Source organism: Homo sapiens, chromosome X (assembly GCF_000001405.40).
Source record: "Homo sapiens chromosome X, GRCh38.p14 Primary Assembly".
Taxonomy (NCBI): Eukaryota; Metazoa; Chordata; class Mammalia; order Primates; family Hominidae; genus Homo; species Homo sapiens.
Window position 1 is genome coordinate 7094451 of NC_000023.11, and position 12841 is coordinate 7107291.

Below are 12841 nucleotides of genomic sequence, written 5' to 3' on the forward strand. Positions count from 1 at the left end.
GGTTCACGCCTTTCTCCTGCCTCAGCCTCCCAAGTAGCTGGGACTACAGGCGCCTGCCACCACACCCGGCTAATTTTTTGTATTTTTAGTAGAGACGGGGTTTCACCGTGTTAGCCAGGATGGTCTCGATCGATCTCCTGACCTCGTGATCCGCCCGTCTCGACCTCCCAAAGTGCTGGGATTACAGGCATGAGCCACCGCGCCTGGCCAATAAGCTGATACTTTAAAGGAAAAGGGGGGTAAGAATTTTCATTTACATTTACATTTGACTGGCAAATGGGCTTCTTCCTCCCTACGATCATAAATTTTCCTGAACATGGGGCTAATTCGATTTGTTAAACGGAAAAGGAACACAGCGTAAGTTGAATGTGTTACCATGACTGTCAGCGTACAATTTTCCTTTTCGCTTGTTGTGTGTGTCCTTTAATTGTGCTGTTATCCAAGGAGTACAATCTGCCTAAGTAAAAATCCCTGAGGTCCAGCTTTGCCAGCAGAGCCTCTCCAGCGACTGAGAATCAGCTGAGTGCCCCAAATCGAGACCACCACCAGAAACGGAGCTGGACGAGGCAGAGTCCCCGAGCACTGGGGACTTCTCCACATGGGTTATATATGGCCTTAAAGGGCTCAGCCCTGTGACCCGTGTCAGAACACATCTTCTCCCCTTTGTACTCTGATGTTGTCTACCTCAACAGAAGGTCACCGCCACATCATCTGGGGCAGTAGAGCGCCGTGGCTAAGAGCTATGGACTCTTCATTCCCCACCTGGGTTCGAGGCCAGCCTCCATAATCAGAGGCTGCAAGCTTTTGGACAAGTAACTTGACCCCTGCAGTCCTACCTGCCATTCCCTGTGCTAAGAGCGACTGCTTCTTAGCGGCGGCAGGAGGCTGACACATACCCCCACGAGTGAAAGCACTGAGAGCATGACATGCAGTGAGTCCTCAATGCTTGTGAGCCAACACGACCATAGTGGACACCAACAAGGAAAAGTGGCATGAATACCCTTCAGGTGCATGTTTCCTGAACATGGCACAGAGAATGTGTTCTGGGGTTCCTAGGCACTGTCCATCTTAATGAGACTCGAAGCCCCAACACCCTGGGTAGATCTAACTGGCATAGCCCCAGCACCGAGCTGTGAAATCTGGCTGAGGATAGGCCAGGAATGACAGGCAGGTGGAGACACAGTTTGTGCCATGTACACAAATGGGTCCCTCTTCTCTGTGAGGCTCCTGCCACCTAGGTGTTATACTGCCCCTCAACACTGAGGCCTGCTGCCCAGACTTAGAAAGTAATGGATTATCAGAGCGGCCTATAAACCAAGGGCTATAATTCTTCTGCTGGCTTCCTTCTTGGCCTGGAAGCTGACCTGGGTGCTTCCTGGTTCCTAAAGGTAACAGCTGGCCCTGAAGCCACTGGCACAGGAGACGGAACAAGAGATGTGACTGTGTCAGTGTGGACATATGAAAATCTACAGGACTGTAAGGGTGTGGACAGCACAATACCTCCATCACTAAGGAGGACAAACCAAAGCAGCACAGCTTGCCTGCTGAGGTCTTCTGGAAGCTGTCCTTGACACAAGAATCATGTTAGCACTGCATGGACTAATGCAACCTTGTAAGTGCTCCCAGGCAGGAAGTGCTCTGAGTGCCTTCCCATCCCAAGGGATGTCCAGCATTTCAGGGATCCACAGTGACAATTCATTTAAGAGCTAGGAAAAAGATGTCCTCACTTTTGTTAGACCTACTTCCAAAAAAAAAAAATTGACTAACAATTTAATTAAAGCATTTGGGATTTCTGTCCCATTAATCTATAGGTACTTGCTCTGGATCTTGGTGAATTATGTCAGCGGCCTCATTCCATAAAGGTGCATGTAGGTGAGTGTAGGTGAGCATATCTCTGTGTGCCTGTGGGTCTACACACAAACACATAGGCATCATAAGACAAGGGGTGAAATGAGGTACCTTAAATAGTTAAACACTGAGTAACGGTTATCTCCAGGGAGTAGGAGAGTGGGAGTTAGAAGGGCTTCCAATTTTAATGCTATACATTTTTGTACCGTGTGAAACAAGTGTAATTTGTGTAATTAAAGAAAAAAAAAAGGCCCAGTGTGGTGGCTCATGTCTGTAATCCCAGCACTTTGGGAGGCTGAGGAAGGAGGACTGCTTGAGGTAGAACTTTTGAGACCAGACTGGGCAACATATCAAGACTCTGTCTCTACAAAGAAAAAAAGAAAAAAACCTTAGTGGGTGTGGTGGCATATAATTGCAGTCCTAGCCACGCCAGAAGCTGAGGTGAAAGCATTGCTTCAGCCCAGCAGTTCGAGGCTGCAGTGAACTATGATAGCACCACTGCACTGCAGCCTGGGTGACAGAATGAGACTGTGTCTCCAATGGAAAAAAAAGCATATCATGATTGTGGTTTTTTTTTTATCCTGAAGGGATATTCTCCCTACTTAAGATCATCCTTTCATTCCTCTAGTGACAAATTTCATGATGCGAAAAATGATGTGTTTCATGAGACACACTGGAAAGGAAAATCTCCTTTACTGAATCCACCAATTCAAATGCTAATCTCCTCCAGAAAAACCCTCACACACACACTCCAAAGAATGTTCCGTCTGGACACCTCATGGCCCAGTCAAGGGGGGTGCATGTCTTTTACCATCACCCTGGCCTTCCTCTGGCCCATCTCTTCTAGGCTGCAGGCGTTGTGTGCCACAAACCCAGAGGATTCTCCCCAAGTGCAGGTTGCATTCTGACACGCCTCCTTTTAAAAATCCCAATGGTTCTCCCTATCCAGAAAGCAAACAGATGAGCTGGGGAATAAGAAGCTCAACTCATAGAGCCACAATTCCTCTCTGAAGCTTGTGAGCCATGAGAAGCTTGGCTTCATGCTGTATAGAAGCAAACTCACTGGCTGACTGGAATCCTCCACAGGTGCTGTTTTCCTTTTGAAATGGCTTCTCCCATCTGTATCTCTTCTGTTCTTGTGGACTCCCCCGAGGTCACCCCCTACCCCAGGAGCGGCCACTACTCCAAGAATATCTTGCTTTACTTAATTCTACATCCCTTTGGCATCTCTTTCCTGAATTTCTCATTTTGCTGTGCAACAATATCCTACCACGGGTTTTCACTTGGATGCTGCAGATATGCCTGTCCCCTCTCCCCAAATGGATGACATACTCCATTAGGAAAGAGACCTTTCTCCTGTGTCCCCCCGAGCACTCACTCAGCACTACATGCACGAGAGTTCAGAGGAAAGAGAGGCAAGTTGTTAGCTGACTTCCAGAGGATGAGTGCCTTCCTGCCAGATGCTCCTAATGGAAAGGGTGGGGGTGTATCTGTTAACAGCCAGGAAGACAACGGTGTAAGAAAATAAACCAAGAACAAAATTAAAAAGAAAAAAAGTAGAAGGATGGAAACAACCATAATTACCTAAGTCAGCCTGAGGAGGAAGGCTTACTTACAAGAGGAAGACACAGCTTGGACAGAAAGAGGACTAGAGCCCATGTCATGTGCATGGTGTCCATGTCATGGCTGGTGTGTGCTTTTCAACGAAGCCGAGCAGGGATGGAGAACGACCTTACTAACTCCTCAAGGTGGGATTCAGGGTGAGGACTGGATCCTCCTGGGTTAGGAGATGACACAAGTGCCTGCTAGGAGCCACTCACTGGGCCAGGTGTAACCACACATGCTCCAAGGTTGTCTTACAGCAATGCCCCAGGTGTTAGTCTGTTTGTGCTGCTATAACAAAATATCTGGGACTGGACACTTGTAAAGAACAGAAATGTATTTCTCACACCTCTGGAGGCTGGGAAGTCCAAGATCAAGGCATCAGCAGGTCTGTCTCTGCAGAGGACTGCTCCTTGCTTCAAGATGGTACCTTGTTGCTGTACCCTCCAGAGGGGAGGAATGCTGTATCCTCAGGTGACAGAGGAATGGAAGAGCAGGCCTTACCCTCTAGTCCTTTCATGACAGCCCTAATCCCATCCATGAGGCTCCACCTTCAGGACTTAATCACCTCCTGAAGGCCCCATATCCTAATCCTATCACACTGGCAATTAAGTTTCAACACTAGATTTGGGGGACACATTCAGATCATAGTACCCCACAGTGGGCATGTCAGTCAGTACTCCTACTGTCCTAAGGGGACTGGGGCTGGACAGCAGGAGGAGTGCTCCGCTGCAGAGCTGTGACTGGACCCATCCTTTCTACCACACAGGCCACACCTGCTCCCTCCCCTCAGCCACCTAAGGGGAGCTCTGGCACCCATCCACGACTCTCCAGGGGGCCAGGGTTCTAGTTTGCTTTTTCTGCTCCAGATGGTCTGAGAGGGGGAAAGTAGAGGGCAGGAAGTTAACACCAGAGAGCCTGGTGCAGGCGGTAAGGGCCAAGAGATGCAGGGGAGAGCCGGCCAAGAGATGCAGGGGAGAGCCGGCCAAGAGATGCAGGGGAGAGCCGGCCAAGAGATGCAGGGGAGAGCCGGCCAAGAGATGCAGGGGAGAGCCGGCCAGGCTGAGGAGCACATCTGCAAGGCAGGCTGTCCTTTCTACTGGCCCAGATACCATGCCCTGGGCTCTTCCTCTAGGAATCTCATGCTTAGTGAAAACACATGGGAAAGCAGAGAGCTGGGACAACAGAAAAAACTCCTGGGGGATTCTACACAATAAAAGGCACCAACTTTCTTCTTATTGGTCTTTGAATCCAAATTACCCTCGCTGAGTTATAATGAAATGTAGAATTTCATCTGTCCCAAGGAATTCATTACTGAAAGGATTTGTTCAAGATACAATGGAGGTAACCAGCATAGGCTATGTTTTAAACAAGATTTTCTGATATCCTAAGTGAAGATTTTTTTTAAGTAATGTGACATACATTTCCAGTTGTAATACGGTACCTATTTTTAAAATCCCTAGAAAACTCACAAGAGATGAACCACATGCATTTTTTCCTCTAAAATTTGTGCCACAATTTAAAAGTTTATTTTCCTAAAATAATTTAAGCCTTGGCTGACCGACAGTTTACATGGAACCATGAAGCCATATAAGAAATGCCTACAGAACTAACTGCTCAAAAGGATTTCCCACTGAGGACATCGTAGGCCCACCCACCTTTTCATAGAGAGGGCCTTCCAGAAATGTGATGATAGCAAATAGGCAGCTGATGTGCGAGTGCATCAGGGCCACTCTGCCTCGTCTTTCAAGTCCATTAGGTCCACCTTGTCTTCTTAGTGGCTAGACTGGCCCAGGCAAAGAGCCCTCCTATACCATGACCAGGCAGACTCACCTCTGCTTCATAATCAGGGCAAAGATACACTTCTATACCATGATCAAGCCAAAGATACACCTCTGCACCATAATCAGGGGGCTGATTCCTTGGTGACTGGCCCAGGCAGACATGCCCCCACATCATACTCAGGCTGATGCCCTGGTGATTGGCCAAGGCAGACACACCCTGCAGCATAATCAGGCTGATTCCCTGGTTATTGGTCTAGGTAGACACACTCCCGCAGCATAATCAGGCTGATTCCCTGGTGACTGGCCAAGGCAGACACCCATCCGTCCCCCACCTCACCCCATCCCGTCCCCCTCCCCGGCCCCCTACCACCCACCCACCAACAGCATAATCAGGCTGATCCCCTGGTGACTGACCAAGGCAGACACACCCCTGCAGCATAATTGGACTGATTCCTCGGTGATTGGCCAAGACAGACACACCCCCAAGAATAATCAAGCTGATTCCCTGGTTATTGGCCCAGGTAGTCATGTCCCTGCAGCATAATCAAGCTGATTCCCTGGTGACTGGCCCAAGCAGACACCCTCCTGCAGCCTAATCACAGCACACAGCCCCTGCAGCATGATCAGGGGCTGCTTCCCCTGGTAATCTACCATTCACTCCGGCAATTTAACTTGCTAAATACCTCCTTGGGTTCGGCTGTCGCTCTGAAAGCATGTGAAAAAGAATGACGTTGAATTAAAAAGCCCTCCCTACAGACAGCTTTCTTTTCTAAAGAGCTCAAGGTCATTTCCACAACCTAACATACCCTACCAGAAAATACTTCCAGAAGGAAAAGAAACAAAGTCAAGGGTTATATTATCATCTACACCTTAAGAACAGGAACAAAGTAGTAAGTGAGCAAAATGAACACCTAGAAGAAAGACTACAGCAGCAAGTTTCTCTGAATCTAGTCACCAGAGCAATGACGCTATAAGGTCACCTTCCGAGGGGAATTCAGGTTTGGCGCAGATAAAAGAGGAGATGGGAGGAGTGCAAAATGAATGGAAACTAGGTCTCCAAGAATGTTCTTTCAGGACAGAAGAGCTATTTTATCTTCATTTTTGTGACTGGTATAATATTGAGCAGAAACCCTAAGGAAGAACACATTTCTGGATTGGAATTAGGCACGGCCTGTCTTTCTGCTCTATACATTCAGTCCAACATTGTCCTCCTCTGGCTTGCTTTCCCTTCAGGTTAAGTATGATTTCTAATAATTTTGTCTTATCCTACACCTAACTCGTTTCAGAATACCAAAGCGGCACATCATCTGACCACTGTCCCTGCACATCATCTGAGCCAGCATCCCAGCATGATTTTAAGTTTCTTCTCTCCAGCATTACCTTGTGCATTTCTGTATACTCTTCAAGTCTTCTGCATGCTCTGCTCTGTCAAAGCACAGCTAATTGTGTATATGGCATGTAGATATGATCATTTTCAAAGAGAGACTTTCAGTATTGAAGTCCCTACTCGCAACTGAGCGGCTAGTAAAAGTTAAAATAAGTATATGCGTGTGCACACACACGCGCACACACAAATCATATGCCAAAAAACATGATTTGTCAAGTCAAAAAAAAAAAAGTTAAAGAGGTCAAAAAGTAGTAAAGAAAGAAAAGAGAGCCATCTAGATAAGTTCTATAGGACTGAACTATCTTTGAAGAACTAGCTCCTGGCTGGTTGTTCACCTTCTATGAGTTTCTATGATTGGCACCTTACTTAATCTGATACCTGCTCGCTTAGAAAGCCAAATGAAGACACTACGTTGATGGGATCACCAAGTAGATTCCATAAAACAGATTCACTAGCACTCCAGCCAAACTACCAGACTATCTAGATAAAACATTTTTTTCTTTTTAAGAATTGCAGTAGAACATATTTCAAGTATATCTTAGAATATAGAACAAAAAGTGTAGAAAGAAAACCATGTGAAAGGCTTGGGTAGATATGGAAGAAATAAGACACGTGCATGCCTCATACATCATGAGTGCTTTGTAAAGTCACAAAAGACACTCAGTCACAGAGTAACTTTATGGACAAACCTTAGCTACATTAACTAAAAAAACAAAAAACAAAAACACTCATATGACTAAAATCAGAAATGCAAGGGGCAACACTACAACCAATGCCACAAAAATAAAGGAGAATACTATTTGTTGGCATATCCTTTGACAACAAATTGGATAACCTAAAAGAAATAAAAGAATTCCTAGAAACACACAACCTACCCAAACTGAATCATGAAGACAGAGAATCCCTGATGATTTTGAGAAGGGGGAAAAAATGAAGACATAGAAAATCTGAACAGATCTGTAAGTAGTAAGGAGACTGAATCAGTAATAAAAGAAAACCTCCCCACAAAGAAAAGCCCAGGACCAGATGGCTTCACTGGAGAACCCTACCAAACATGGAAAACACTATATGAAAAACAAAATACAGATCAATATCCCTGATGAACACAGGTTAAAAAGTCTAAATAAGATATTAGCAAACAATTCCACAGCAAATTGAAAGGATCATATACATGAACAAGTGAAGTTTATTCCTGGAATGCAAAAATGGTTCAACATATGAAACCACATTTACAGAATAAGGAACCAAAAAAAAAAAAAAAAACAAAAACCGCAATTGATGCAGAAAGAAAACGCATTTGAAAAGCTCCAACACCCTTTCACGATTAAAAACAGTCAAATTAAGGATAGAAAAAAAAAACTACCTCAACATATTAAAGGCCATATATGAGAAGTTCACAGCTAATATCATTCTCAATGAAGACTAAAGCTTTTCTTCTAAGTTCAGGAACACAACAAGGATACACACTCTTGTCACTACTAGACAGTATAATAATGGAAGTCTCAGCCAGGCAATTAGGCAAGAAAACACAACAAAAGGCATCCAAACTGGAAAGGAAGAAACAAAATTATCTTTGTTCACAGATTACATGATCATATATATAGAAATCACTACAATTCAACATATTAAAAAAAAAAACCCAATTGTTAGAACCAATAAGCCAATTCAGCAAAGTTGTAGAATACACATCAAACAAAAATCAGTTGCATTTTAATATACTAACAATGAACAAGTTGAACAGAAAATTATAAACAATCCCATTTATAATAGCATCAAAAGAATAAAATACCTAGAAATAAGAGAAGTGAAGGACCTATAAACTGAAACTACAAAACAAAACACTACTGAAAGAAAGACACAAATAAATTGAAAGACATCTTATGCCCATGGATGGGAAGACTTAATATTAAGACATTCATAGCATGCAAAGCAATCCTACAGATTCAATGCAATCCCTATCAAAATCCCAATGGCATTTTGAGCAGAAACAGAGAAATACATCCTAAAATTCATAAAAAATCTCAAGGGATCCCAAATAGCCATAACAATCTTGAAAAAGAACAAAATCGGAGGTCTCACATGTCCTGATTTCCAAACATATTACAAAGCTACATTCATCAAAACAGTGCAGTACTGGCCTACATACTAATAGAATAGAATAGATAGCCCAGAAATACACTCTCACGTATTTGTCAAACGATCTTCAACGAGCCAGCCAAGACTACTCAATGGGGAAAAGATAAGTCTCTTCAACAAACAGTGTTGGGAAAACTGGACATCCACGTACAAAAGAATGAAGCTAGATTCTAATTAACACCATACACAAGAATTAACTCAATATGGATTAAAGTCCTGAATGTAAGACCTAAAACTAAAACTCCAGGAAGAAAACATAAATTAAAGTTTCATGAAATTGGAATTGGCAATCATTTCTTGGCTATGACACCAAAAGCACAGGTAACAAGAGCAAAATTAGACAAATGAGATGACATATGTCAAATTCATCTAATCAAAAACTTATGCACACCAACAACTAAGCGAAAAGGGAGCCAGAATGGGAGAAAATGGTCATAAGTCATATGTCTGATAACAGTTTAACATTCAAAATACATAAGGAACTCCTACAACATAAAAACAAAAACACAAAAATCAAAAATAAGCAAAGGATGTGCACAGACATTTCTTCAAAGATAATACAGAAATGGCCAACAAGCAAATGAAAAGATTCTTGCCATCCCCAATCATCAGATATGCAAATCAAAACCATAAAGAGATATCAACTCACACCCATTAGGATGACTACTATCAAAAAAATCCAGGAAATGGCAAGAGTTGATGAGAATGTGGAGTAATTGGAACCCTTATAGATTTTTGGTGGGAATATACAATGGTGTAACAACTATGGAAAACAATATGGTGGTCACTCAAAAATTAATAATAAAATTACCATGGGATCCAGCAATTCCACTTCTGGGTATATCCCAAGAGACTAGAAAGCAGGATCTCAAAGAGATATTTGTACACTCATGTTTATATAAGCATTATTCACAAGAACAGCCAAGGTGTGGATGCCACCCAAATGTCCCTCAACAAATGAACTATGAATAAACAAAATGTGGTCTAACATACCATAGAATATTGTTCAGCCTTAAAAAGGAGGAAAATCCTATCACATGCTCTAACATGGATGAACCTTGAGGGCATTATGCTAAGTGAAATAAACCAATCAAAAAAAGATAAATACTACATAATTCTCCTTATTTGAGGTATGGAGAGTAGTAAAAATCTTAGAAACAGAAAGTAGAATGGTGGCTGCCAGGGGTTGAGGGCAGGGCGAAATGGGGACTTGTTCAATGAGCACGAAGTTTCAGATTTGCAAGATGAAAAAGTTCTGGAGGTCAATTGTATAGCAACATGAATAGACTTATCACTACTGAACTGCCCACTTTAAAATAGGTAAAATGGTAAATTTTAGTGTGTGTGTCTGTGTCCTACCACAATTAAATTTGTATATAGTAACTGTATGGATGTGTTTCACCAAGACTTATCAAGGTAACTTCATGTGCAAATGGTGCAGAAAGACACTAGATGCAGAGAACTGAGTATCACGATGCTCGTACCCATGCCTGAGATTCACAAACACTACCATTTTCAGTGGATGCAGACAGAGTGATTACAAAGGGTGTGTGTTTGCATGTGTGTGTGTGCTGCCCAGGAATGGTCAATCCACATGTTTGGACATATGTATAAATATAAATAATAACATACATTTCAAAAGTAGGTATGCTTCATATTAATATCATTTTAAATCCAAGATTACTCACATAACTGCTGTTTTTTTTCTCCCCTAGCACCAGGAATTCTAAAGACAGAGTATTCATCCTGTATATCCCAGAAAAATCTTCAAATAGTCTATTTTCAAGGTCTGTAATCTAGAATATTCTTGAACAAGGAGCGTCAGGCAAGCCCGTTCTGATTGAATGTCAGTTAACAAGCACGGAGGGAACAAAGTTGTTTTTCCTTTCCGAAGAAAACTGGATACAAGTAAAGAAAGGGCTGAACGGCATATAAACACACAGGCTAAAAATGAATTCGACTTTTTACTTTTTTTTTTTTTTAATTAAGCGTCTTTGGGGAGATTTAGCTGCTTATCAATTTGTTAAAGTTTGAATAGTTGCTGAAATATTAATCCTATATCTGATTTTGAAAAGAAAAAGGCAAAACCATCTATTAAGGTAAACTTTGAAGACATTCTGTCATTAACATAATCTTTATATATAGTAATATAAACAATACTCAAATGTTTTTGGAACCCAGAAATCACTGAAACTAACGCATATTATTTTAAGAAGCTTTTAAAGAGAAAATTGAATCACAGCATCCCACAGCATCAGCCAAACTCTTTCAGGAGCACCAGGAGGGACTTAGTTTAGATACTGAAGAAAAGAGGACAAACTAAGCATGCCCTATGCTAGACTTTAAAGGTGATTTACAAAACCATTGCTAATAGTCACAAACATAACCCTGCAAACAGCGAGGCAACCGCACCTGGCATGAGCGCAGCCGTGGGGAACACTTCCTTTAACTTCGTTTGGCTTTCTTCCACCAGCTCCTCTTTGGACATCGGGAGCTGCAAGACGTCTATTATAATCTGTGCCGCCTCTAATGCCTTCTTACCCATAACCAGGGACTTTACATCCCAGCTGTATTTCTTGTCATAGCGATTACATATTTCTTGAAACACCACTGAATACAGCCGTTCAGTATCTGCAGGAAAAAAAAAAGAGATTTTTAGAGTGCATACTGTATGAACAGTAAGTTTGTATCAGGTCCGCATAAACATACACTGTGTAGGTCTCATTCCATGAACAAAGGCTTTTGTGGAGACCTAAGTGAACAGGAGAAAGGCTTGCAGGTCATTCTCACTAAATTATACTATGGGCAGCCTCCTCTCAAGGCTGCTGGAGTTATGTCTGGAGTTGTGATCTGGAAATTCAGAACTCAGGAGAGAAATGAAATCTGTATTATTGTGTTTTCTGTTTAAATGTACGTATTTGAATCTAAATATATCCTTGGAATGGTCAATTCCATTCGATAGCACAAGGCATCATTACTCGGTGTTCCCAACAACATGGAAGCCAGCACCAGCTGACAAAGTCCACTGCATGGCCCACTAGTATTAAGGACATTTCCACTGCCCAGTGGGATGAATCCCCACCATGCCTGGCCAGGATGCTGCTGTGAAGCTCCCAGGTAAGAACAGAACATTTAATGCACAGGCTGTCACGGGATGGTGAAAGCTGACCTGAGAATTAACTCCCGGCTCGGCACTTACTCAGGGCACAGCCTCAGAAACATAGTGAGCCTGCAGGTGCCTGCTTTCCTCACGCTTACACAAGATGAACAGGAATACTGCTAATAATAGTACCAGTACCACTAATATACGCTAGATTACACTACATACAATATAATAACTAGTACTGGCTCACACCCATTTCTATTCATGTGTTTTTTCTGTATGTATATTTAATATATACATAGTATCAATTGCACTCATATTACCAATAAGAATACTACTGAGGATGCTACTACAGTGAAATAATCCTACTTTACAGAATGAATATTTCAGGGCACATAAGTAACATTCTAGTGCCAGCCTCCTAGAGCATGCTTGTTACACACTAGCTGTCTTCCCCACTCTGTCTCCAGTGTGGGCCTAGAAAGATTACTTTACTGAAGAACCAACTAACTGACCTGCTAGGAGGCATTATGCCAAAAAAAAAGAAATACTTCAACACAGAGGAATGTCTACCAAGTGGAATTTCAAACCCAGGTAAGCTCCATGGAGCTGAGTGTTGCCTGATGACAATCCCCCCAAGGCCCCAGTGAAGGCAGAAGGCTATCCCAAGGCCTGGGCAGAGTCCTTGTCTTCCAGTCTGCGGTGGCACAGAGGCAGTCCCTGAACCCGAGAGGCTGGAAATAGCCCTGTTCACAACTGATTTAAGAAGAAGACACACGGATGCATCTGACAAAAATCTGGATTCAAATTCAGTTAGGAGACTGACCACCTGTTCTAGATTTAGCACTGAAACCTTCCCACAGGGTGTGGAGCAGCATTAGCAGGACGTAGTCTACCTTGAATCTGTACAGCTGGACCCAACAAGAAGTCCTGAAAAGAGCAGGCGATCTCAATGGCCTTTAACTGTCCCACAATGACATA

The 12841-nt window shown here is 42.8% G+C and overlaps 1 protein-coding gene across 6 annotated transcripts in view; it reads right to left on the reverse strand.

Annotated features, from left to right (window-relative positions):
* The window catches only part of PUDP (pseudouridine 5'-phosphatase), a 442316-nt gene that overhangs the window by 388613 nt on the left and 40862 nt on the right, over nt 1-12841 (reverse strand). For 5 of the 6 annotated variants that reach the window (XR_007068202.1, XR_001755734.2, NM_012080.5 and 2 more), the window contains one exon: nt 11170-11388. Coding sequence is in view for 4 of the 6 variants with exons in the window: in NM_012080.5 (NP_036212.3) it covers nt 11170-11388 (219 nt within the window). In the remaining 2 variants the exon portion in view is untranslated. The remainder of the gene's footprint in view (nt 1-11169; nt 11389-12841) is intronic. The other variant, NM_001178136.2, reaches the window with a different exon arrangement.